General features: G+C 38.9%; 1 protein-coding gene across 4 annotated transcripts in view, besides 2 other annotated features; it reads right to left on the bottom strand.

Moving 5' to 3' along the window:
* Window positions 1-27,166, bottom strand: part of UBE2E2 (ubiquitin conjugating enzyme E2 E2) — a 388,828-nt gene that overhangs the window by 78,758 nt on the left and 282,904 nt on the right. For all 4 annotated transcript variants that reach the window (NM_001370225.1, NM_001370226.1, NM_152653.4 and 1 more), the window contains exon 4: window positions 13,428-13,560. In NM_001370225.1, the coding sequence (NP_001357154.1) occupies window positions 13,428-13,560 (133 nt within the window). The remainder of the gene's footprint in view (window positions 1-13,427; window positions 13,561-27,166) is intronic.
* Window positions 5,954-6,454: an enhancer, noted in NCBI's record as "H3K4me1 hESC enhancer chr3:23548205-23548705 (GRCh37/hg19 assembly coordinates)". NCBI's record gives its function as "activates a minimal SCP1, AML or CMV promoter by ChIP-STARR-seq in naive H9 embryonic stem cells {active_cell/tissue: H9 hESC(naive)}" and the evidence as "EXISTENCE:reporter gene assay evidence [ECO:0000049][PMID:30033119]".
* Window positions 6,455-6,955: an enhancer, noted in NCBI's record as "H3K4me1 hESC enhancer chr3:23547704-23548204 (GRCh37/hg19 assembly coordinates)". NCBI's record gives its function as "activates a minimal SCP1, AML or CMV promoter by ChIP-STARR-seq in naive H9 embryonic stem cells {active_cell/tissue: H9 hESC(naive)}" and the evidence as "EXISTENCE:reporter gene assay evidence [ECO:0000049][PMID:30033119]".

Below are 27,166 nucleotides of genomic sequence, written 5' to 3'. Positions count from 1 at the left end.
AAGAGAGAAAAGAAAAAAGAAATGAAGAAAATAAACTGGAAATAACCTGAAATAAACATATTGCTTTATATGTTATTTCCTTGTTGAACAAACTACTGTAATGTTTTATCCACAGAGATAGAGTTTAAAATGCATTAGTGGCCAAGTATGGGGGAAACATAAATACACAGTATATATAGTATACTGTACATGTACAGATATTTTAAGTTTTTATGTATGTATGTATGCATGTATGTATGTATGTATGGTCAAGGTCCTGCTCTGCCACAATCTTGGCTCACTGCAACCTCTGCCTCCTGGGTTCAAGCAATTCTCGTGCATTGGCCTACTGAGTAGCTGGAATTACAAGCGTGCGCCACCACGCCTGGCTAATTTTTGTATTTTTAGTAGAGATGGGGTTTCACCATGTTAGGCAGGCTGGTCTTGAACTCCTGACTTCAGGTGATCTGGCCGTCTTGGCCTCCTAAAGTGCTGGGATTACAGGCATGAGCCACTGAGCGCAGTCTATACACAGATATACAACTTGGTAAGTGCCCAAACAAAAAATCTTATTTAACCTTAATTCTCCACAAAAATAGAGGCAAAAGGGACTACAGAAAAGAACACAAAGAGTGACCTAAAGTATGGCTGGTTGGGTGCAGTGGCTCATGCCCGTAATACTAGCACTTTGGGAGGCCAAGGCAGGAGGACTGGTTGAGCTCAGGAGGACTGGTTGAGCTCAGGAGTTTGAGATCAGCCCGTGACAACATAGTGAGACCTAATCTCTTTCAGAAATCAAAAAAATTTGCCAGGCATGGTGGCACATGCCTGTAGTCCTGGCTACTTGGGAGGCTGAGGTGGGAGAATCACTTGAGCCCTGGAGGTTGAGGCTGCAGTGAGCTGAGATCGTGCCACTGCACTCCAGCCTGGGTGACAGGGTAAGACTGTCTCAAAAAACAAAAATAATAAAATAAATAGAAAAAAAAAAAAAAAGGCAGGCAGGCAGGAAAGAAAGGCTGTAGGCAAAAAACTGAATTACTGTGCACTTACCAAGATCACTTCATAGCTCAGTTGGTTCAGGTGTGAAGAGTAGGGGCTGCAGGACTGGAAATTAGGAGGCCAGGAGTTCTAATCCTGACCCTGGCCTTATTAGCTATGTGATCCTAATCACATTACTTATATAAGTTTTAGTTCGATTAAAACTGAAACCAAAGGCTCAAGAGGAGCTTAAAAAAAGTCATTTAGTCCATTGCCCTGCAGAAGGCCACTGCAACTACAGGTAATTATTTTGACTTATTTTAGGCCTGATTTAGGCACTTGTGAGAAAATTAATTTATATAATTTATTAACAACAAATGAGGTTTTTTCCTTGTAATAAAAGCATGATATTTTATGAGGTATTATTATATAAGCTTTCCAGCAATAATACTCTATATGGAAAATAACTTTCCAATCCCCAAACAGTGAGAACTTAATGAAAAAGAGAAAATATCAGCTTTGTTAGTTTTTTCAGTCATCATTCTTTTCTTTTGGAAAACCCATTCTGGAAATTCATAGGTTCAAAAATTCAGTTTGGGTTGAAAATTGCCCATTTCTCTAGGTGAGATCATTTATTCTATCTAGGGTTTTAACACCCAAATCTGTGTCTGCTAACTCCCAAATCAGTACCTCTAGCTCATATGACTCACCTGAACTCCAGATCTATTAAGCTGTTGGCTGAACATTTCTGCACTTCCCACTCAGGTGTCCCATAAGTTCCTCACAGGCAACATATCCCTACCTGGTCATTCAGATCAGAAACCAGAGAGTCCTTCCTGATGTTTCAAACTAGTCACCAGTAGATATGGATGTCAGTGCTAACACAGTGGTTCTCAACAGGGTGATCCCCTCCTTCAGGGTATACTTGGCAACATCTGGAGAAATTTTTGTTGTCACAATGAGGGACAGGGGAGATTGCTATTGGCATTTAGTGGGTAGAGATCAGGCATGCCGCTATGTATTCTACAATACAAAGGGTAGCCCTTTACTACAAAGTATTATCTTGCTCAAAATGTCAGCTGGGTCAAAGTTGAAAAAATCCTATTCTACCATACCTTGAATGTAAATTCTATGCAAGATGGGGCATGCCATTGCTCACTTCTCTATGTTCAGTATCTAGACCACTGCATGGTACATACATGATTACTTAATAATGGAATGAGAAGAGAATTTATACATTATTCTCCTTGTTTTTATCTTCACAGCTGAGCCTTAATTCTTTTCTGGGCTGAACTATTGTGTCAGCCCCTAATTGTTCTTTCTGTCTCCATGCTTCCAGGGCTGTATCTTACTCATCTTTATATATCAAGGGCCTGGAAAGTAGTAGGGGCTCAATAAACCTCTGCTTTATAAATGAGCCTTAAAACAGGTATTTAAAAAAGCAACCAACCTACAAGAATTTTTGGCAGGTCTCTGTTAACAGCTAATACACTGATACCATAAGAAAAATTCACCTGATGGTTTAGAATAGGTATGCTTATATGAATCAGTATGAATAACTTTGTCTGATCCTAGATCCATTTTATTTTATCTTATTTTTTTTTTTGACCCAGTCTTGCTCTGTCACCCAGGCTGGAGTGCAGTGGCATGATTTCAATTTACTGCAGCCTCCACCTCCTGGGTTCAAGCAATTCTCATGTCTCAGCCTTCCAAGTAGCTGGGATTACGGGCGTGTGCCACCAAGCCTGGCTAATTTTTGTATTTTTTGTAGACAAAGGGTTTCACCATGTTGGTCAAGCTGGGCTCAAACTCCTAACCTCAACTGATCCACCCACCTTGGCCTCCCAAAGTGCTGGGATTACAGGCGTGAGCCACCATGCCCAGTCCCCTAGATGCATTTTATTTATAATTTTTGTTGACTGTCTGACTTTGTTTCTCCTTATTTTTGGCAGGACAAGACCTGCACCACACCTGCGAAAGGACAGGTGGTCCTATCTTCTCTAATTCATCAATAAGCCATGATCATGTACTGACTCTTCTCTTGGACAGCTGCAAACTAGGAACATTCATTTCTCTCTGTCTCATTTTCTTTAGATCTCCTTGAACAAATCTCTAAGAGGCTGCTACCTTACGGAGAGATCCTGCTCCAACTCTAATGAAAAGAAAAAATCGTATGTTTATTGTGGCACTATTCACAATAGCAAAGACTACGAACCAACCCAAATGTCTAACAATGATAGATTGGATTAAGAAAATGTGGCACATATACACCATGGAATACTATGCGGCCATAAAAAATGATGAGTTCATGTCCTTTGTAGGGACATGAATGAAGCTGGAAACCATCATTCTCAGCAAACTATCACAAGGACAAAAAACCAAACACTGCATGTTCTCACTCATAGGTGGGAACTGAACAATGAGAACATTTGGACACAGGAAGGGGAACATCACACACCGGGGCCTGTTGTGGGGTGGGGGGAGGGGGGAGGGATAGCATTCGGAGATATACCTAATGTAAAGGACGAGTTAACGGGTGCAGCACGCCAACATGGCACATGTATACATATGTAACAAACCTACATGTTGTGCACATGTACCCTAGAACTTCAAGTATAATAAAAAAACATATATATTAAAAAAAAGAAAAAATCAAGGAAATTTGATCACTTGCCATAAAGGGATTGATATTTGGCAGGCAGTCTCAGAAATGAACTCAGACCTGCCTACTGTATCCCAGCTTGAACAAAATAACGTCACAAATAACTATCTAAGCAAGTAACATATTTAAATAAAGTGGAGAATATTATACTTTTTTTCATCACACGTAGAATATTATTTCCCCATCCCATCTCTCAAGTGGACAATGAAATATAATTTGTTTTCAAATTTACAGACAATCAACACAGGGTGTCTGTTCCATGTCTTGATCTGGTTCCATAAAAGCCCTTTCCTGTAAGGTTAGGAAAATGCCAAAACTGAAGCTTCATCTGGCTCAGTACTACAGAAGGTTTTCCTCTTTACAAGAATATTTCTTCCAGTATCATTTTATTGTCCTTAAATTTTATGTGCTTAGAGTGTTTCTCTCAGAGTTTCCAGTGTTCACTGTTTTATGGGACCAGTGAGTGGATCACTCAATACCCTTTGATGTTTGGGATACTGAAGACTGTACCTGGAGGAGTTACCCTACCCTTCTCTCTTCAGAAAACTCACGTGAGGGGAGGGTATCACTTGTGTCATCTGTGAATCTTTCCTTAGAAAAGTCACCCCTCTTTGGTAAGTGAGTTGAACCTTTTCTGAGCCCTGAAGGCAAAGAAGATCCTCATTTTCCAAGCTTCTGAATGTCTCACTTCAGTCTCCCCTGTTCACATAACTTCTCCGCGGAAGAACATCCATCGTGAAGGAATTTAGGCCTATCTACCCCTCCCAGTTATGCTGACAGTAATATCAACCAACACAAACTTCCATTTAGAGTGCGGTCACATTCACAGAGATAGGAACTCCAGGGCATGGAGAAGCACAGTAAAATACTTGTTTGAAACCTCCACCTTTATGGCAGGGCTCTTATAAGGGTGTGTCAGTAGATATCAGAGTGGCTGATTCACCACCACCTCTTCAAGGCTTGTGCAAACGTACAGTTGGTTGAGTTGATCCAACCTGAAAAATTAAGCTGGCTTGAGCAATAAGCATCTCAGGAGACAATAATAAACTAAAGGTCCTTCTTTAAAATTAGCAAACTGCATTAGACTATAGAAAGCTAGGAACAAACGTATCTTCCCAAAATATGGCTAAATTAAACTTCCTGTCAACCAAAAGGCTGATTTCCTATTAGCTTATAGGCATATTTAATTTGGCTTACAATAAAGTTGGTATTCTTTGCCCTGAAAACAAAACCCAATCCTACTTCTTAGTAATTACTAAACTGGTGGTAATTGTAGGTGGTGGCTGGACACACAGATATAATGTGCATTATTTTAAAAGCACAAAGACAATGACACCATTTTGATCAATTTTTAATCATCACATTCATTTTGGGATTTCACACAACATTTAAGGATAGCATGCCATTATTAAAAGTTTATCAAAAGGAGCACGGACCAAAAAGAAAAACTGACTCATGTGATGTAAGCAAACCTATGACAGCCCAGTCATGACACTGAGGATACAAGGCCATTCTGACACTAGTTAAATGTGAAAATGATCTGTGAAATGTGAAGTAACTTCTTTAAAGCTGGCAAAATCCAGAAATCAATATTTATTATTTAACGTAGATATAACACGTTAGTCTGTGAATTAGAAACATATTGAAGAAAAGCCCCCAGTGTCTTCGGAAAGAGGATTCCTGGCAAAACAGAAAGGCACACAAAATCTCTTCTAACATTCTTTCCTCCTCAAACCATCTCTTTCCTCCTCATACTGTCTTTCCTCTCCCCTCAAAAATACTTGGGTTGGAGAATAATGTGATATAATTAATTCATACCAGAGTGTATAATCCAGGAACAAGTATTCCTTCTTCCAGGGATATAAGCAACCTCAACCTTCTCTATAATTGGAGATAAAAGGCTCAGTTTAGAACTGGGTTTAGATTCTGGTTCTGCTACCTACTTCCTTTGTGGCCTGTGCGCAGCTTAACCTCCATGGAGCTCAGTTTTCTGATCCATGAAGTGGGGGTAATAAACATTTTGCTTAGGGCACAGTTACATGCATTTAACTAATTCAACAAATTTTTATTGACTGCCTACTGAATCACCAGGTATTGTTCTACATGGATGAGATTAAAGGAGTGACATCAAAATAGACAAAGTTTCTGTGTTCATTGAGCTTACATGCTAATTGGGGAAAGGGAAACATAATAAATAAACAAAGAAATATATAACACCAAGAGGGAGAGGTGCTATAGCAAAAAATCAAGTATACTAGTGGTTGTGAGGAAGTTTGAGGAAGTTTATAGGGAACCTAAGGAGGTTGGAATTTGTCATCCAAGAACCTCTCTGAAAAGGTGACATTTGAGCAGAGACATCAAGGGAGAAATGAAGTGAGTCATGTGAATTTCTGGGTGGCATACAAACGCAGGCAGAAGGAAGAACAAATGGAAAGGCTTGTGAAGAAGCATGCTTTGAGTATTTGAGTAAAAAATGATGGCTGGCACTTTGAAAACTGTTCTGTGGACGGGGTGGTTCTATATGGCTTTATAGGCTTTTATTCAGGAGCTGGGAATCACTGAAGGGTTTAAGCAAATAATTTACATAATCTGACACACTATAGAAGGAAGCTTTAGGCTGGGTGTGGTGGCTCATGCCTGTAATCCCAGCACTTCTGAAACGCTGAGGCGGACGGATTGCTTGAGCTCAGGAGTTCGAGATCAGCCTGGGCAACATGGCGAAACCCCATTTCTATCAAAAATACAAAATTAGCCGGGCATGGTGGCAAATGCCTGTGGTCCCAGCCATTTGGGAGGCTGGGGTGGGAAGATTGCTTGAGCCCGGGAGGCTGAGGTTGCAGTGAGCTGAGATCACACCACTCCATTCCAGCCAAAAAAATAAAAAAGGAATCTTTCAGCATATGGGGTGTACTGTTGAAGGGACAAGGGTGGAACCAGGAAGACCACATAGGAGATTTCCACAATAATCTGAGGGAGGAGAACAGTTGACGGTGGTTTGCGCCAAAGAGTTTCTAGGGAAAGATGGTGAGAAATGTTTGGATTCTAGATTTATTGTCAAGATTGAGCCAGTGGGACTGGGTCTGGCTAGCTGTGTGAAAGGAGTCAAGAATGAATGTAAGGTTTTTAGTTTTAGCAACTGGAAAAAAAGACCTGACATTCATTGATATGGGGAAGACTAGAGGAGCTGGTCTGGCTGATGTAGAATGGGGTAATCAATAATTTGGTTCTGGATTTGTTAAGTTTGAGATGACTACTGGATGTTCAACTAGAGATGTCAAATAGGCAATTCAAAATGTAAGAAAGAACTTGACCCATGGCCAAGCTTTATATGAATGCACGAACTCAGGTTAAAAACAAGCCAATTCATGTTATTCCATGACAACTGCATGTTCTCTAACCAAGGCTGGAGTAAATGAATGGGTAGTTGGGTTTACACACATAAATCACTGCTCTTACTGAAAATTCTGGGAAACACATTCAACTTTCTTCTTTGAGTAGTAGCATTAACAATAAAAACAAGTACATAATAATAATCTAGAGTAAGGGTGCAGTTGTGGAACTCATTGTTGAACTTCAGTTACAGATCTCTCTCTGGCTTTCAGATGCTGAATATCACTGTTTCTTATCGTAACTAATTAGCTACCTTATTTATGAGTAGCCATGACCTGTCAATTTAAGGTTAAAATCTAATGAGAAAAATAAAGATTTTGAAAACCTGAAGACCCCATCTATTTCACTTTTCAAAAGCAGTGAAGGCCTTCCGCATTAGCTGACATTAGTAAGCAACCCATAGTTAGACTTTATAAAAAATAACAACAAACAAACCCATAAACTGATATGCTCTGAATTGATCTCTAGGATTTTAAAATGTACTTGGTAAAATTTGTAGTGAAAGAACAAATTATATTTTAAAAGATTTTGAATATCATTCTTAATTTCACTTACAGACACTTTACTGATGTGTGTAATTTTTTGTCTTGTTTTATAAAACACCTGAGGCACAAATTTTATCACCAGCAGATACTATCTTCTTGCCATTACCAGAGAAAACAGTGTTTCCCAGGAACATGGACACAGCATGTCTAACCTGTGCATAAGTTGCCTGAAATACTGAAAATAAAAAACAAACATGAGTGACTCTCTCACCTACCTAATTTCAAATCTATTTACACTTATTTTTTATGTCATGTACAGATTCACAGGGAGACAGAAAAAGCTAAATTAAAAATGCGTTACCCCTATGCATTTCTACTGAAAAGACAAACACCTGACCTGTTACCTAACATGAGTCCTTAGTGAGGATGTAAGTCATTATAATTTCTAACACAGGCCGGCGGCGGTGGCTCATGCCTGTAATTCCAGCACTTTGGGAGGCCAAAGTGCGCAGACTGCTTGAGCCCCGGAGTTCAAGACCAGCCTGAGCAACATGGCAAAACCCTGTCTCTACAAAAAAAAAAACAAAAAAAAAAACAAAAATTAGCCAGGTGTGGTGGTGTGTGCCTGTAGTCCCAGCCTCTTGGGAGGCTGACGTGAAAGGATCGCTTGAGACTGGGCGGAGGTTGCAGTAAGCCATGATCACGTCACTGCACTCCAGCCTGGGCCCCAGAGTGAGACCCTGTCTCAAAAAAAAAAAAAAGAAAGAATGTCTGAAACAGAAACATTAGACACAGAGTGTCACAATATTTTCAAAGTGTTTTTGGTAGGAAAAAACCCCAACATAATATATTCCATTAGTTTCTGAATTCTTCAAGCATCCTTGTTAATTTTATTTGATGTAAGACTTTTAAGATAAAATGTTTTTTATATTATTCACGAAAAGAAATAATGAGATAGGACAACAGTATACATGAAAACTGTCATACATTTCACAGGTAGTCAAATAAATGTAAATTAATGCAACCATAAGATACGACTTTTCATCTATTGCCAGTAAAAAAGACTTAAAATCCTAAAAGCTGAGGGGAGTGTAGGGAAGTTCTACACTGTCATGTTGATGGTCACGATGTAAACTGATAGAATTTTTCTGGAGCACGATTTGTCAATCGTTACCAAAAACTCTATAAACACGTGCAAACTCTTTACCCAGAAATTCCACAGCAACAAATTTAACCTGAGAAAATCATAAAAGTATAAAAATGTGTAATTATATGAATGTTCATCACATCACTGATTATAACAGAAGCAATGAGAAGAACCTAATTGTTCAGCCACATGAAAGTGATTAAATTTTGGTATATTTATACAACGGAATACTAGGCACCCTTTCTAACTGTAACACAATTAAATGTTTACTGGAAATATATAATATATGGCACGGGATGAAAATATAACATTAGATTAAAAAGTAATCATGAAGCCATGGGGAGTATGGCCCAATTTTTGTAAAAAGGTGTATGTGTGTTTATGTATATATATGTACAGGCATGTACGTGTACATATTTATATGTATATGATACAAATGAAGGAAACAAAAGTCTTAAAACAGATATACCTAAATGGCATGAATAATCAGTTTGGGGGAGATTACAGGCAAATTTTTTTCCCTTTTGCTTATCTGCAACTGTTTTTTAATTATGTAACAAATATGTAGGCTGCAAAATGAATAACATTAAAATACTTACATATTAAACTTTTAAAATAAAGTACAGATTTTGAGCACTTTGAGGAGTAATTTTACTTATTTATTTATTCATTTAGAGACAGAGTCTTGCTCCGTCCCCCAGGCTGGAGTGCAGTGGTGCAATCTCAGCTCACTGCAGCCTCGTCTCCTGGGTTCAAGTAATTCTCATGCCTCAGCCTCCTGAGAAGCTGGAATTACAAGTGTGAGTCACCATGCCCAGATAATTTTTGTATTTTTAGTAGAGATGGGATTTTGCCATGTTGGCCAGGCTGGTCTCGAACTCCTGATCTCAAATGATCCACCTGTCTCAGCCTCCCAAAGTGCTGGGATTACCAGTGTGAGCAACTGCACCTGGCTGAGGAGTAATTACCCATAAATTTAAAAACTAATTATCTATGAATCTAAAAGCTAATCCCCAGCAAAATGTAAAGGAACTTCTGGCCGGGCGTGGTGGCTCACGGTTGTAATCCAGCACCTTGGGAGGCTGAAGCAGGTGGATCACCTGAGGTCAGGAGTTCAACACCAGCCTGGCCAACATGGCGAAACCCTGTCTCCACTAAAAATACAAAAAATAGGCCGAGTGTGGTGGCAGGTGCCTGTAATCCCAGCTACTCGGGAGGCTGAGGCAGGAAAACTGCTTGAATCCAGGGGGCGGAGGTTGCAGTAAGCCGAGATTGTGCCACTTCACTCCAGCTTAGGCAAAAGAGCGAACTCTATCTCAAAAAACAAAAACAAAAACAAAAACAAAAACCAACCAACCAAATGACAAAAAAAAAACCCCAAAAAACAAAGCAACTTCTACCTTAAAAAGATACTGAATGAAAACATTAAAACATATGTCTACACTGAAAAATAAATAGGTGTAAAAAGCTTTTACACACACTAGCAGTTCATTACACTTTTCTTTTTGGCCATAATGTAGTATTCCTAGGTGGAGTTCTATTAAACAGGTATTTTCACAGAGAAATAATATTATCATTGGTGGTTAAATACTCAGCTGAAGACCTGACATCAAATGCAATGGACAATGTCATACAAGAAAAGATACTATGTAAAATGCCTTACCTACTTTGAAATAGTAAAATTGTGCTATAGGTTAAGTAAAAGGCATAAACATATAAGAAATTCAATGTACTAAAAATTGTACTGAAATATAGCATTTGAAAAGTACTAATACTCAACCTATTTAAAACTAGAATACTAAGTTTAATTAACATTATGTACTCAGGTAGTAATTGTTTTGCTCGCCTTATTAGAATTTAGGCAAATTCTGGAAGAAATTACTAGAATAGCTCATCTCTGATTTTAAAAAATTGGGCAGTGGAATATAGGGTGTTCAACCTGATCAAGCCCTACTGTGAAAAAGTTCCTGCAACAAGAAGGGGCATCTCGAATCATTCCTCTGACCTTTAAAAGCTACATTTGAGCTCTGCAGTGTTTAGAAGTCCTCATAAAAGGTTCTATTTATGATAATTTGGAAAAAATTATCTCATGAACCCAATCATGCTACGGACTAATTTTATGGTATGTATATCCACACAAATAACCATCAGATAGCCCATCAGATGTATTTATAAGCATCTGCTCTTATAAGTAATTCCCCCTGACACCCACTGCTTCCCTGGTTCATTCTTCAGAGTATTGGGAAATGTTGCAGGAATCAAAATGCATGGCTAACGTGAAAAAAAAAAAAAGAGCAAAAGAGAGAAAAATACCAAGCAGCAGAGAAAAAAAACCCAAGACAACTTGAAACATGTACTATTTACAGTAACAGGACACTAGGAAGGCATGGAGTTGTTACATCAAAACTATTAATAATAAGAGTATTTGTTTTACTTAATAGCCTTCACTACACCCCAAGTTTTTTCTCCCTCGAGTAACACATCTATCTACAGAATCTGATCTCTAAAACTGATATATTAGGAGTTGATAATTTGCTTTTAAATACTTTCCACAGATACCTATCAAATGTGCATTTGAATTGTGGTTATAGGTACCAAAGTTTGCTTTTTTTTTTCTCCTTAGAGATTGTCTGGTCCAATTCATTATGTGGAGGGATTCCATTTTTTCTGGTAAAATTCTTGACAGGTAGTAACTCAGTTTTTTCTTGAACACTCCTAGTAAAGGGAAGTGTGGTGTCTCAGAGGTAGAGCTACACACAAGTTGACTGTCCCACTGTGGGTCAGATTTCCCTCAGAGAAAACTGAAATCTACTTCCCGGTAACTGACACCCTCCTGCTTCTATTTTTGTCCCATCCAACCATCCTGGATAAAGTCCAACCCCTACCCACACCATAGTCCCTAAAACATGTGAGGACAGATAAAGCATTCCTCCCACGCCCTATTTTTACCAGTCAACTTCTCCAAGGCAAGTGTGTATAATTCAGTGGAAAGTACATGGCCCCTGGAGTCAGACTTCAGTAGATTCCTGGTTGTACACTCTTGGAAAACCTCTCTAAGTCTCATCTATGTTTCCTCCTCTGTGACAGGGGAACATCCTAGTCTTACTGGAGTGTTCTGGAGAAGAAATGAGTTGGCAGAGCTGATGCCCAGTGGAGTGCACGACTCAGTGGAGAAAGTCAAGAATGCGATTTGACTCTCTCCCCCCAGCTTATTCTAGCTTTGTTTAATCTACACATTTCTGTCATTCAGAACTAGGATAAGCCCACACATTTTCTGAAACTACTAATCTCAAGGAACAGATCACATCAGATTTACAAGCAGCACAATAGCCTGGTCTGAGTTTTCCTCCTCCTTCCTCACTCTGTGCATCCTTTACTGTAGAGGCTGAGAAAGAAAGGTCCTTACATCCCTCATAGTACAACAGATACTCCAGGTGACATAAGGGCTGGTCTAAAGTAGAAAAGGAAGGTATAAGGGTCCCATCCAGTAAAGGGAGAAGATAAGTATTAGATTTACCATGGCTTTGTCATTGAAAACCTACCAAATGCAAGCTCTTGGTGGTCACCAGTGCCACCAGCCCTGACAGCTTGAATAAAATGTATTGTGTAATGTAGGAAGAAGTATGGGCTTTGGAGCCAGGCTTTCCAGATTCAAATCCTTACACCACAATTTGCTTGATGCATAATGCTGGACAAGTTACTTAGTTCCTCTGTCCTTGGTTTCCTCATTGAGGGTAATTATAGCTACTACTTTTTGCTTTGGTAACACTATCTAAGCATCAATGGAAAGGAAGGAAGAAAGGAAGAGCAGGGGCAAAAAAGAGGAGGGAGGGGAATTATAGAAAGTCATGGTGAACGTCTAGTCTTATTCTTGTTTTTTTATATTGTTTACTCCAACCCACAATACAAACAAGTTTTCTATCCCTGTGCATTGTGACGTTAAGTCAGGGCCAGACGAGAATTCTTTCTTGGTAGTCAAAACATAGTGTCCTCAGGGTCATTTCCTTTGCTATAGTGGAGAACAAATGCTAATGGAGACGACACAATATTTAAAACAGTCAAATATCCGACTTATAGGCAGTAGAAAAGAATGTGAAGACTTTCTAAAGTATATAACCTTGGCTTAAATAAGTGAGGATTCTTTCATGTTCTGATTTCACTGCACTCTTCCACATCAGACATGAACATACATGACTTTTCATTGATTAGTTTCATTAATGAACTATTATAAATACTTTACGAAATTTTTTAACACAACTTTTAAGTCTCTGTGGGTCATACTTTCCATACTAGTCCATGTGTGCTACATGTGAGCAGCTGAACTCTAGAGGCACCAAAACTCAAACCTCCATAGCTGGTGCTATAAACCTTGCCTAGGCAAGGCTTCCTCTGCCTTTAGCCTGATTCTTGCGCTTAGCTTGCTTGGGCTCTGGCTCCAGGCTACGTCTGATTTTCTGGGCTCTGGTACTCACCCTGGCCCAACCTTATGCCCCCATTTTCACCCATAAAACATGGTGTTTTAATGTTACATTAAAACATATAACAAAGAAAGGAGATAATGAGGAGAAAAAGGAGGAGAAAAAAAACAATGAAATCAGTAAAAAGCTGGGGTGGAGGAATAACCTACAATTTTTTACATTGTTTCATTTTATACACTATCAATCCTGGGAAGCTGTCTGTGACAACAGAATAGACATGCATCCCTAGAATGCATATTTAAGAATAAGTATATGTATCTAGAAATATAATCCATATTGCTAAAAATCAATGAAAACTTCATACTGACCTTAGGGGGTTTAAACGGATAGTCTGGTGAAAAGGTAATGTCAAGAAAGAACACCCCTCCTTCATAGACAGATCCTGGGGGTCCCAATATAGTTGACCTCCATTCATAAATGTTGTCTCCTTTGGGTCCAGCACTGAAATAAGACATACAAATGAAATGTGCTTAGAAATTACATAAAGGCTGGAATTTAACAAAATCTATTTATGATAACCAATTGAGCAATTCCATAAAAACACAAAAAGTTAATCAGTTAACTCTCATGTTAAGATTCATATTGCCAATATTGTCATTATCCTAGAAGTGAAATATGTTGGTATCACTTCATAAAAGAACACCAAGATCCTCTTTTGCCATTCACAACCCTACGCCTATGGAACAAGAGTCCAAGGACTACAGGCCAGAGGTAGAAACACAAATGTTTAATGAAAGCATGAAATTATTTGTGATGTCAGAGACAAAATTTCAAAGTTAGAAGGACCTCTGGGGAATGACTAGTCTGATCCCTTTGCTAACAACTGAGAACACAAAGGAGGTTCAATGTTCATCATCCAAAGTCTCTGCTCAAATATCATATCCCATCTGAATCTTCCTTTCTTTCTCCCCACCCAAAGGACTTCCTGACCCATACATCATGACCAATGAGGTCTGTAGAGGATAAGATGTATCATTTTGTTTTATAACTGTGTTTTGCAACTAATGCTTCTTTCTACCCTCCCTAGAAGGTGCTTGAGGAACAGGTTGTACCTTGTCCTTAGTGCCTCTTAAGTCAGTATGTTGGATGATGATGAATTAATAACAAAGCAAGTGAAGAAGCCACATGGCTACTAGCAGTACACATGTCTCTGAGTTTCAGAGAATTTTGCTGAAAACAATATGGCCCACATGAGTCGAGTGAATTGTATTAGTTCTCTCAGGTGAAAAGAAGGGCAAAATGAGATTAGGATTTAGCTAATCCTAAGAATGGGCTCAAGCCATTCTTGGGTCTCAGCCTCTCAAGTAGCTGGGTTTACAGGCATGCATCACTGGACCACACCTGGCCCCTAGAAAATGTATTTTTAAATGAGTTGCAATAGGTCTTGTAGGGAAGCTATGAATAAAGTCATAAAAGATGTGTAAGATCTTTATGGAGAAAATTATATAAAACTTATTGAAAAGTACTCATAAGAGTTAAATAAATGGAGGGAGATACCAAGTTTATGGGTAGGGAGACCTGATATCAAATGTCAGTTTCTCCAAATTGATTCATCATAATTCCAATTAAAAAGTCCAACTGCTTTTTAAAACCAAAACTCGACAAGTTGATTTTAAAATTTTTTCGGAAGCTCAAAGAAATTCCTCAAACTTTTCCACACATATATGAAAACCTGATTTATGTCAACTGATGGGACTAGGAAAAGTTTTTATATTTGAAAAACAGAGAAACTGGATTTTTACCCTCAGTAAATAAACAAATGCTGTTGCAGATGGATTAAATATTTAAATGCAAAAGTCAAAATATTAGAGTTTGACTGAAGAGAGTGACAAGGCAAGCTGCAAACAGAAAAGATATTTGGATCATATAAAAGTGACCAAATACTAGTGTTGAGAATACACAAGTTCCTAAGAATCAACTAAAAAAAGACTCTATTAAAAAAGACATAGACATTTCCAAAAAAAGGGAAACATAAATGGCCAATAATCATATGAAAAATGCTCAATATCATCAAAATCGGGGAAATGAAACTGAAAATCAAAATTCAGTAATATTATTTTACAAAATGCAAATGCAAAAATCAATGCCTGACAAAACCACATGTTGATGAGGATGTGGAAAAACTAGAACTCCTATGTACTGCTGATGAGTATGAGTAATTCCTTCGGATGAGAATATAGGCTCATCTAGTTAAGTTGAATATACAGTTGACCCCTGAACAACAGGGTCTGCATTGCGTGGGTCAACTTAGATGAACTAAATTTCAAGAAAATACATTAGAAAAATTTGAGATTTGTGACAATTTGAAAAAACTCGCTGACAACGCACTAGCCTAGAAATATTGAAAAATTAAGAAAAAGGAACGTCATGAGTGCACAAAATATACACAGATATTAGTTTTTCTTATTTACTACCAGAAAATATATACCGATCTCTTACAAAGTTAAAATTATACCCACAAACCATACATGATGCCATGAGCATTTTAAAAGAAATGTAAGCAAACACAAACATAGAGTATTAAATCATAACTGCATAAAAGTAACTATAATACATACTGTACTACTGTAATAATTTTGTAGCCACCTCCTGTTGCTATTGCAATGAACTCAGCTATTGCCAATAGCTGCTTAAAATGCCTAAAATGCCACGTGACAAAAATCATCTCTGCATGAGCAGTTCATCTCTCCAGCAAATTGCGTATTGCCATAAAAAGTGCTCTCTCTCAGTTCTCGCATATTTTTCATTGTGTTTGTGCAATACCGTAAACCTTAAATAACACCATGGGATCCATACGAAGGGCCACTAGTGATTCTGGAAGTAGTCCCAAGAAGCAGAGAAAAGTCATGCCATTACAAGAAAAAGTTGAATTACTTGATATACACTGTAGATTGAGGTCTGTAGTTGTGGTTAGCTGCCATTTCACCTTGTAAACAGATGATGTAAACTCAGGGTAACAATAAACACGGTACAATACTGTAAATGCATTTTCTCTTCCTTATGACTTTCTTAATATTTTCTTTTTTCTAGCTTACTTTATTGTAAGAATACAGCATATATACATATAACATGCAAAATATGTATTAATTGAAATGTTTATGTTATGAGTAAGGCTTCTTGTCAAAAGTAGGGTATTATTAGTAGTTAAATTTGGAGAAAGTCAAACATTATACATGAATTTTTGATGGCACAGGGGGCTGGTACCTCTAAACCCTGAGTTGTTCAAGGGTCAACTGTACACCTATTTTACAACATAGCAACTATACTCCCAGGTATACACTACAGAGAAACTTTTACATGTGTGTATCACCAGAAGACATTGAGAATAATGTTTATTGAAGCACTATTTATAATAGCAAAATTGGAAACAACACAAATGGCTACTGACAGAAAAATGGGTAAATCCACCCAAAGGAATACTATATAGCAGTGACAATATACAGATTAACATGAATGAATCTTAAAAATACATTTAATAAAAAATTAAGACTAAAAAGAATCTATACAGTAGGATACTATTTCTACAAAGCTTAAAAACAAGCAAACAGGGACATATACTACTGAGGGACACATAAATATGAGGTAAGAAAAGAAAACCAGTAAGAAAAAAGTTCAGAAGAGTGGTTTCCTGGGTAGGAGCAGAGGTTGGAGAAGCAGCACACTGGAGTTTCAATGGTTCTGGGTATGTTTCACTTCTCAGTGTGTGCAGTGGATTCAGGTGCTTTCTGTTTTATTACTAGGTTTTCTCACCTACCATGTGTTAGATACGTTATTACATAGGTACCAAATTCTTATATTAAGAAAAATTATGTCAAAGGTCTACCAATATGGTGAGAAAAGCAACTTGCTGCATATGTACAATGTGATCCTACTGTATAAATAAAAAAAAGATCCTACTGTATGAATTTACAGGTCCTACTGTATGAATATTTTATATTATTTATGGATACATATCTATGTCAAAGTCTTTTAAGAAATTAACTGGAAAGATAAACCTAAATTCATGATAGTGGTTATGAGAACAACAAGGGATGAGGTGGAATGGGGAGATGGGAGGAAACAGATGTAGAGATAGGAAATGAAGGAGAGTTACATTTTATTTCTAGTGTTTGATTTCTCTTGTTTAAAAAAGGATGAAGTAAATAAAATCACAGTTATCCTAGCTTATTGCAAAGGGTTGGAATATATTGAGAAGCAGTGGTGTAAGGGACTAGAGTACAGCATTCCTCCCCCATCACCCCATTACCTCCTTTTCCTGAGGCTGGCAATGAGGCATAGACAGAGTATATTCAGCCCAGATGACAATAAAGCTTTGGCAACAACAGCCTCTTGTTGCCAGACAAGCTCACTCACTCAGATGAATAATACACATGGTTATGCCCTGAGCTATAATTAAACCCAATATGAATAGATAAGCTTATCAGAAGGAAGAGCTTAAAAGTAGAGAAAATCACAGGTTTATAGTTACAACATTACTTCAAGGTAGATGAATAAATTCAGTTAAAAAGTACACACAGGTGAGCGTATACAGCTATGAAATAACATACACAAACACATTTAGTAAATACCAAGCTACGATTTCTCTGGGTCACTTTAAGAAATCTTAAAATGGCCTCCCAAGAATGGTAACCACAGTAAATTACAAGATATAGGCTAAATAAGGAGTCACTACCAAATAGTGTGGCTGAGGAAGGGACTCTGAAGCAGAAGACAGCAGTATCTCACCAAGAAGGGCAATGTCTGCAGATAACATAAACTCAATTTTTGCCCATTCCAAGTTTTATTTGGCTCTCAGTCAGAACTCCAAGTTTTATTGGTTCTTTGAAGTCAGTCAGCTGTCTATGTAGTTATTAACAGTGGACTAAAATAACACAGCTAATATTATCACTCTGAATTGGTTTATGCTGTCAAAGTGTGCCACTTTAAGAAATCTTAGCCAGTAGCAACAAATTATCTTGAAAACAGACTGGTATTTTAAAATGCACATAAAACTAGCCTGTAATCACAGCACTTTGGGAGGCTGAGGCGGGCAGATCATTTGAGGCCAGGAGTTTGAGACCAGCCTGGCCAACTTGGTGAAACCCCATCTTTACTAAAAAAAATACAAAAATTTGCCAGGTGTGGTGGTGGGCGCCTGTAATCCCAGCTACTCGGGAGGAGTATCTGAAATACTCCTATCCCAGGAGATAGAAGATGGGATACTATCTGAGGCAGGAGAATTGCTTGAACCCAGGAGGTGGAGGTTGCAGTGAGCCAAGACTGCGCCACTGCACTCCAGCCTGGGTGGCAGAGTGAGACTCTCAAAAAAAAAAGAAAAAAGCATATAAAACTAATACTACTTCCCTCATATAAAAATTGGGTTTTAGCAACCTGGACTCTTCTAACATTTTAGAAATGTATCACTTGAAATCCCAAAGCTTACAGCAGTGGTTCTTGAACTACACAGCCCTCTGCCCCACTCCTATTTGGATATGTACCAGTTGAGAACCCAACATCCAAAACTTTGCTGTATAATATGGTAGCCATGTGGCTACTAAGCACTTGAAATGTGGCTAGGGCAAATTGAAATGTGCTGTATGTGTAAAATATATACCTAAGTTTGAAGACTTAATGCAAAAGAAAGTAAAATAGCTCATTAATAATTTTAATAATTACTATTTACCTATTAATTTAATAATTATTAATGAACAACTACATGTTGAAATGGTAATACTTGGAATGTATTGGCGTAAAGATGTATGAAAATATGCTTTGCTTATTTTTTTCCTTTAGTCTGGCTGTCAGGAGATTTAAAATTACATACATGGCTCACATCATATTTCTGTATCATGAATCAAGAAGTGAGAAAGAAATCTTTTAATCTTTTAATGATCACTTATCTCTCAAGCTGAACAAATAAAATTTGGTGCCAGAGGACACTTGCAGTACAGAGCAATGATGAAGAACATAAACAGGCTCTGGAGTCAGACTAAGTTGTCTGAATCCTAGCCTTGGCATTTAAAGCCTGTTAGGACCTGGGTAAATGTGTAATTTTTCTATGTCTTAGTTTCCTTGACTGCAAAATGAGATCATTATAGCACAAATCTTGTAAATTTTTAGTAGAACTGTACTCACAGAACTTGGAAAATAGTAACCCTCCAAATGTCAGTTGCTGTTGTGCTTGCTGTTACACGCTGCAGATGATCAAAAATACACTCAAAGAGGTTGACTGCTTTGTAAATTTATAAGAATGGTTTCAGGACTGAAAAACAAGGCTACAAAGATGTGTACATCAAAAAAAAATAATGATTCTGTAACCTAATCTTATGATGTATATTTAGATATAGCAGAACTTTAGAAATCATGTATATCCACTGCTGCCACTCTTAGGAAATCCAAATTATCAATGAATAGAATGTTTATTTAACAACAGGATTTTCAGGTATTAGGTTATTAAGTAATGTTTTCCCACTTGCAACATTCTGAAAATGATCAATTCCCTTACTGTTTTATTTTCAGATTTTATTTTTTAAATAAGAAAAAAAACCTAAAGCTTTCATAGTTAAATTTCAAAATAAAAACACAATGAGGTAAATCTTTTAGAATGAAAAATATCAGCAAATTACGATTTGGCTGAATGCCCAAGGTTGCTGCTTCAGGAGAAATTCTGCAACAGAATCAAACTGTGTTCAGCTTCCCATGCTGCAGCCTACAGTGGATGAGCCCCTATGTACAGCTGAAATATTACATGCAATAAAAATCATGAAAATAGGCTCTCGCTGTCTTTACTTAGCATCTTAAAGATCATAAGATGCTTTAGATATACTGAATACTTTCAATCTGCTGTGCCACACCTGTGATTCTAAGACCAAGAGTTTTTGGCTGTGTCTACTGCTTTTTCACTTAACACTGACTTTGGGACAGGTAAAGAGGAAGGATGCCTCGGCAATGTTGGGATTCTGGCTCCACAGAAAGAATGTGTCTGACTTGCCACCACTTTTCACTAAACCTTTCTGTGCCTCAATCCCTTCTTAAGTAAAATGAGATAATAGTACCTCAAAAGAGAGTAAAATATCTCATTAGTAATTTTAATAATTACTATTTATCTATTTAATAATTATTTAATAATAATTACAGGTTGAAATGGTGGGCTAAAAATGTATTAAAATAAAATTCACCTATTTCTTTTTTCTTCTTTTTAATGTGGCTACTAGGATATTTAAAATTACATACATAGCTCACACTATATTTCTACATCATGAATCAAAGAAGTTGGGAGGTTATTGGGAGGTTTAATGGTATTATTACAAAAAAAGTGCTTAGAACCTTGCTTGAACATATCAAATGCTGAAAAAACATAAGCTATGTATATTGTTAAGTCTAAATCTTGATTGAAGGGATTATAATTGATGGCATAACTAGAAGAAGTCAAAGGGGAATGGGCTTTTTAAAATTAGTATTCATGGAATTAGCTAGCTGAAAATAAACTTTTAATGGTAATGGATACCTAAACTGTGTGTTTAAAAAATCTAATCATACTACACAGCAAGTGAGAATTGCTGTCTGCTAATCCTACAACCCAGTGAAATTCTCTTAAAGTATGTGTGTGATTGATCAGGTAGGGAGTATCTTGTCTGAAGAATAGGTGTTCAGTCCCTGTAAGTCCAGGGAACTGACCTGAAATTACCAGGGAATAGGGTAGTGAGAAGAAGATGAGGGGATTTTTCAAAAGCTTTAGCAATCCTTGCTTATAAGCAGAGTCCATGTAACTGAATTCATCCTTCCTGTGGGAAAGTACATTGTTCACATTCAAACTATATATTGCACCTATGTCCAAAGTCCCTTTGGAAGCTAGCTGCAGGGATATTGAGCTTCTGGCATACAACACAATAATGAAGGTGTTTCTCTAGTGACAGTCTCCCTCTAATTTAGGGTTCTACTCCATGTTGTTTGTCCTCTTCAATGTCTGCCTACTTAGGGGTTCTACCCTCAGCTACCTAGTCTCTTCACCTTCATTCTGGGTATCTCATTACCTACCTTTGACAATCACCTACCAAACTGTTAGCATCTCTAATCTGGTCATAAATCTGAGAGTCATCCTTGACCATGCCTCTTTTTTCTCCTCTGCTCTAAGTCCCCCAAATCCTGTTGAATCTTACTTCATTGTTATCTCTGTACTCTGATTATTGGCCGCATCAGCTCTCATTTAGATTATGGCACCAGCATCTTGCATGGTTTCCCTGCCTCCAGTTGTGCTTCCCTCCAATCTGTTTACCAAACTGCAGCTAGGGCAATTTCCAGAAACTCCTTTAAGTAGGATCTTTTGCTTCCCTGCTTTCTCTAGGTTCTTCACGATCAAGCCCAAAGTCCTTTGCAGCATACAAAGTCTTTCATAAAGAATTGGCTCCTGCTTACACTTCTGGTCCCATCCCTTGCCATCCCAAAGCTCCCCTTCAACTCTATTACTCCAATCATACTGGAATTACTTGCAGAGCTTTCAAGAGAGCTGGGCTCTTTCTTGTCTCCTGGCTTTTGCATAAGATGTTCTGTAGGTCTGACCATTCTATTTGACCCCTAGTTCTTAACTTGGCTGCAACCTTTCTGATCCCCTAAAGGCTGTACTAGGTTCTCCTTTGGAAGTGGTAACATTCTGTGCAAATATAAACGTTATAAAAACATAGACATAGGCCTCTAATTTTGGGGGAAGAAGACATATTAAGAAACAGCATTAACTGGATCAAAGGAAAAAAAGAACTCTATACTGACAGTGAAAAGGCATTCCCTATGCCCCAGAGGGTGTTCAGAAACAGGCCAGTACTGTAGTGTCTGAGAGGAGGACAAATGAAGACTAGTATTCCATAGACTCCTGAGATTCCCTGTATTTGTATTCATTAATTTTTTTTTAAAAAACCAATACTGCCAAAGTCTACCAAAACATCTTAGGAAGTTAGGATATAATAGCGCTGATAGAAAAGACCCATTTCATACACTAAACTCCATGCAGAAATGGACTGTTAATTTTATCCCCCATAAGGCTTCTTCCTAGTCCTTAAACATCTGGTTCTAATTCTCCTGAAATATTCCAAGAAAAATAATTATTTTGTACTTTTTTGTCAGTGAATGCTTAATAAATGGGAATGATATTTACCCTCAATCACACTTTACAGATTTGAGATGTAAAGATGAAAAAAATGATTTTGGCTATCTTTCACCAAATATCATTTTAAAGTCACTATTGTTACCTACTCTGTACCCTTTGTTATCACTGTCAACAACTTAGCAGAGAGTAAGAAATAGAAGAAAAAGAATATTTTAAATGAAAAAATAACTACTACTTAATCATCATAATACTTCCTTTTCCCAGGGAAAGCAGTAGCCAGCAAGCTTAGAGAGTAAACGAGCCTTCTATGAGTCACTGAGAAAGGAAGACTTCCTCAGTAAGTTCATGACACTCCTTGACTTCCCTGCCTCTTTTTGTGTTACGTGCGTGTATATTTAATTTTCCCAATGTGTGGATACCTTGCAATGAGTACACAACTATGCCAACAGACTTAAAATTTTAAGAGACATAACTGTATAAAGTAGTGAGCAGGGATAAGCAGAGAAACTGGGAAGCAGGAAGAAAGACTACAGGGAAAAACTGTATATTCTTCCTTTTCTTTTTAAGCTACATTTTTATAATATGCATTTACTTGTAAACATAAAGACCAACCACGGAATCAACAAGAACTAAGTCTTACTTTTTACAGGTTAAGTATCTCTTATCTGAAATGCTTGGGACCAGAAGTTTTTCAGATTTAAAATTTTCAAATTTCAGATGTTCAACATGTATATACATAGGTTGTTAGAAATAGGTTATGATTATAAAGACTTTGGAAACCATCTAGAGTTCAATTTTTTTATAACACAGAAGCAAGCAAGCATTAGAACTGGACTAGAAATCCATTCACTTGGACAATTAGGCATAAAATCAATCAGAATTAAAATACTGAATTATAATATCTGCAATCCTTTAATTAGCTGAAAGGACTCCAGAAATGAGCTGTGTGGTTCTCAACATTTTTTTCCCTTTTCCACTATACCTTCCTTTCCTTGCAGTAAAAATGACTCACTTCAGCAGTGATTCTCAGCATGCATATGGGGGGAAGGGGAAAGAAAGGAATACTTAGGAAAAATGAAAAGGCTCCTTCCCCGCTGAACACTTCCATTGAAGGCCTTCATTTCAAAGGCGATAATATTAAGGGTCAGAAAAGTGAAGTGCTTTGCTCAAGGTCACACCCAGAGAAGAAAACCTGAACCCTCTAATCCAGGGGTCCCCCACTCCCAGTACCAGTCCGTGGCCTGTTAGGAAGGAGGCCACACAGCAGGTGAGTGAGCAAAGCTTCATGTGTATTTACAGGCTCTCCCCATTGTTCGCATTACTCGCATTATCCCATGAAACTATTGTTGTTACCAGGCAAAGCAAGAAACTAGCAGGGCTCACCTCTTCCTTGACCTCTGCACTTATACCATGGAAACAGTAAGAGTTTCACTTTACGGGCTCTAATTTCCCTTTTCTATACCAGCTGTATGACATCTTGCATGCTAATGTCCTCTTCTGTCACATCAGCGGTGGCAATAGATTCTCACAGGAATGCAAACCCTACTGTGAAGTGCACATGTGAAGGATCTAGGCTGTGTATTCCTTATGAGAATCTAGTACCTAATGACCTGACACTGTCTCCCATCACCCACAGATGGGACCACCTAGATGCAGAAAAACAAGCTCAGGGCTCCCACTGATTCTACATGATGGTGAGTTATATAATTATTTCATTATATATTACAATGTAATAATATAAATAAAGTGTATAATAAATGTAACGTGCTTGAATCATCCCAAAACCATCTCCCCGACCCATGCCGTCTGTTGAAAAACTGTCTTCTATGAAACTGGTCCCTAGTGCCAAAAAGGTGGGGGACCACTGCTCTAATTCTAAAGTGAAGACTCTTATCCTGTCACTACATCTGCCAATTAGATACGAAGACTGAAGTAAAAAAACCAGAAAGGTAACCATTATGATAAACTACCCTGCTTGACAGGACACCAGAGATTAAGATGAGCATCTGAGTATATTTTTCAACCTTTTCATCCTGGGCATGTTTCAAATATGTAATGAAAGGCCTCAAGGTACTCAGGGCTTCCAGAAATAGCCTCTCTTATCTGTACTGTAAGAACACTTGGGCCTATGAGCTAGCAAATGTAGCAAAGAATATTTCTTAAATTAATTCCGCCCCCACCTCCCACCTGTTAGGCAGGGAAACTGTGGAGTTTTAATGTATCTACCGATCTTATCTGCAGTATAAACAAGCTTCTGACAAGAGGGTAAACCATTGCTGCCCCTACACAGTTTTCAGGAAGCCAAATCGCTTCTCAAAAATTTTCAATTCTCAAAAATGTTACCACTCATACACGGTGAAATGTAAAGCTTCCCGGTATCATTCTAATTGCATAATTATTACTTTCTAATATTTACAAAAGTAATCACAGTAAAAATTCCATTTAGAAGTTAAGATGGGGCAGATCTGAGGGACAGTTAACTATCTTAGACAGACTAGTTAAGCTGTGTAATTTGTGTTCTCACTCATAAGTGGGAGTTGAACGATGAGAACACATGGACACAGGGAGGGGAACATCACACATCGGGGCCTGTCGGCGGGGCGGTAGGGGGCTTAGCGGAGGAATAACATTTGGAGAAATACCTAATGTAGGTGACAGGTTGATGGGTGCAGCAAACCACCATGGCACTGGTATACCTATGTAACAAAAAACTGCACGTTCTGCACACGTATCCCAGAACTTAAAGTCTAATTAAAAAAAAAAAAAAAAGAAATGTAATCTGTATAAAGAGTTATTATCAAGACAAGTTGTTTCCAAGGTAGGTTAAATATCTACAAGACACTCAATATACTTCTCTTTGGCTGAGAACATCTTTTGTTTCTTGGCTATGAAAATAATAAACAATTTCTTCATACAGTTGTCTAGTTTATTCCTAAAAAGGTTGGTTGTGACATCCTACTACCTGCATTTTTTTTTTTTTAAATATTCCTTACACAATCATCTAGCTCCAAGACCCATCAACACTGTCTCTTCTACCACGCTGTCTGGAAGCCAACGTTATCAAAGCAGAGGAAGTGGAAGACAATTCAACCAGAAGACTAACAGCAAAAGTGACCTGCACACAGAGACACTTAATAAATGCTTGTTGAAGAATAATAAAGAAATATCTTTTGTAAAACATGAATCTATTACCGTAACATGGTGGTAAAGAAAGTATGCTTCAGATCCAGAGATGAAGCGTCCAAATCCTGGCAGTCCCACTTACCTTGTAACTCAGAGCAAGTTACTTAACTTCTTAATGTTACAGTTGTCCATCTCTGAAAAAGTAGCTACTCCAGAAAGTTGATGTGAGCATCAAATGAATTAATATATGTAAGGTGCCTAGAACAGTGCCTGGCTCATAGTAATGGCTATGTAAGTTTATACTATTGATGGCGGTAGTAGCGCAACCGGATTGGCCACTGTGGAGACACTGGCCACAGTGGGGGAGGCACATCTGGGGCTGCATGCTCTGTGAAGCTGGCAGGGGCAGGGAACAGGTGATCCCAGTGGGAGCCCCGGACCCTACCGAGTTGGTAGGGTGGGAGCCTGCACTTCTAGGCGCAGCTGCAGCTGCCCAGCAGTGGTTCTGACTCGGATATCCCTGTGCTCTCAGGACCTGGAAAGCCCCCTGCCCCTGCAGGCTTGGAAGTGCCTGCTCCTACTCCCTGGCCTCTTCCCAATCCCAGCACCTGCTCCAGTGCAGAGCAAAGCTGTAGCTGAGCCTGGGCACTGCTGCGACCGAGCTGGGTGTGCACACACTTGGGGTGGTGCTGTCATGCCAGCCCCCTGCCCCCACCACCTTGGCCGCCTCTGAAGCTTTGGGTTCTGACGAACTCAGGGAGGGAGGCCGGGGGTATTGAGGGAAGCTCAGCATGGGCCTGCAGGCACCCCTCAGCATAGACAGCCTGGGCACCACAGATAGCATGTTGATGGTGGTGGGAGGCAGACAGGTGCCTATGTGGGAGGTGGTGGGACCCCAGTGAAATCCCACCTTCAAGCCAGGAACAGCCTGAAGTCTGGGGACTGGGCTGCCAATCCAAGGTGGAGTCTGCAACTTAGAGTGAGAACTTCATTGACGCCTTTTAGCCAGTCGAATGGTGCTTTTTCCAGGCCCGACCATGGACCAGTCAGCACCTACTTCCTCCATTCTGAGCAAATAAAAACCCCAGACTCAGCCAGACTCAGATACTCATTGGTACAACCTGCCTGCTGAAAGGAGTTACCACTTTGAGTCTCCTGAGAGCTGTTCTGTCACTCAATAAAGCTTCTCTCTGTCTTGCTCACCCTCCAGTTGTCTGCATAACTTCATTCTTCCCAGACGTGGGACAAGAACTTGAAACCTGCAGTGGTGGGGTCAGGTCAGCTCAGGAGCCATGGGCCGGAGCAGGACGGTGGGACTGAAAGAGCTGCAGCACAAACTAGCTGAAACATGACCCCGAGAAAACATGCTTTCCTCCATTTGCCATGCTGTGGGCAAAGAGAAAGAAGAGCTGCAGCCTTCCTGGGAACCCAGATCTCAGGGCTTCCTAAGCCAGAGCTGTGACACACTGTAATACCTTCTATGGGGCTCTGAAGTTCCTGGCATCTCTGAGCTTTCAGGTGCCACTGCATTCCCCTTGTCTGGATGTGGGTGCCTGCAGTGGAAGCCTCTTGTGGTGTATCTGGTACAGCTACAGCCTTGCACGGAGCTGGCACCTGTAGCTGCCTTCCCTGCCACTGAAGCCAGTGTACCTGGCTGTGCACAGTGGGCAGACCTCATGATTGCTCACTCACACACCCCTCGCCACTTTGTGCCTGGCTCACCCTTGGCAGGTGTGGGATCCAGGCCAGTAGTGCAAGCTGAGTGCAGCCTGCTGGGCCGAGTGGGTGGAACAAATCCAGCAGGCATGAGCAAAACTCAAGCAGAGGCGCTGCTGGTCATAGACG

This window comes from Homo sapiens, chromosome 3 (genome assembly GCF_000001405.40).
Source record: "Homo sapiens chromosome 3, GRCh38.p14 Primary Assembly".
NCBI lineage: Eukaryota > Metazoa > Chordata > Mammalia > Primates > Hominidae > Homo > Homo sapiens.
Note: the sequence above shows the minus strand (reverse complement) of the source record. Positions and strands in the feature narration are given on the sequence as shown.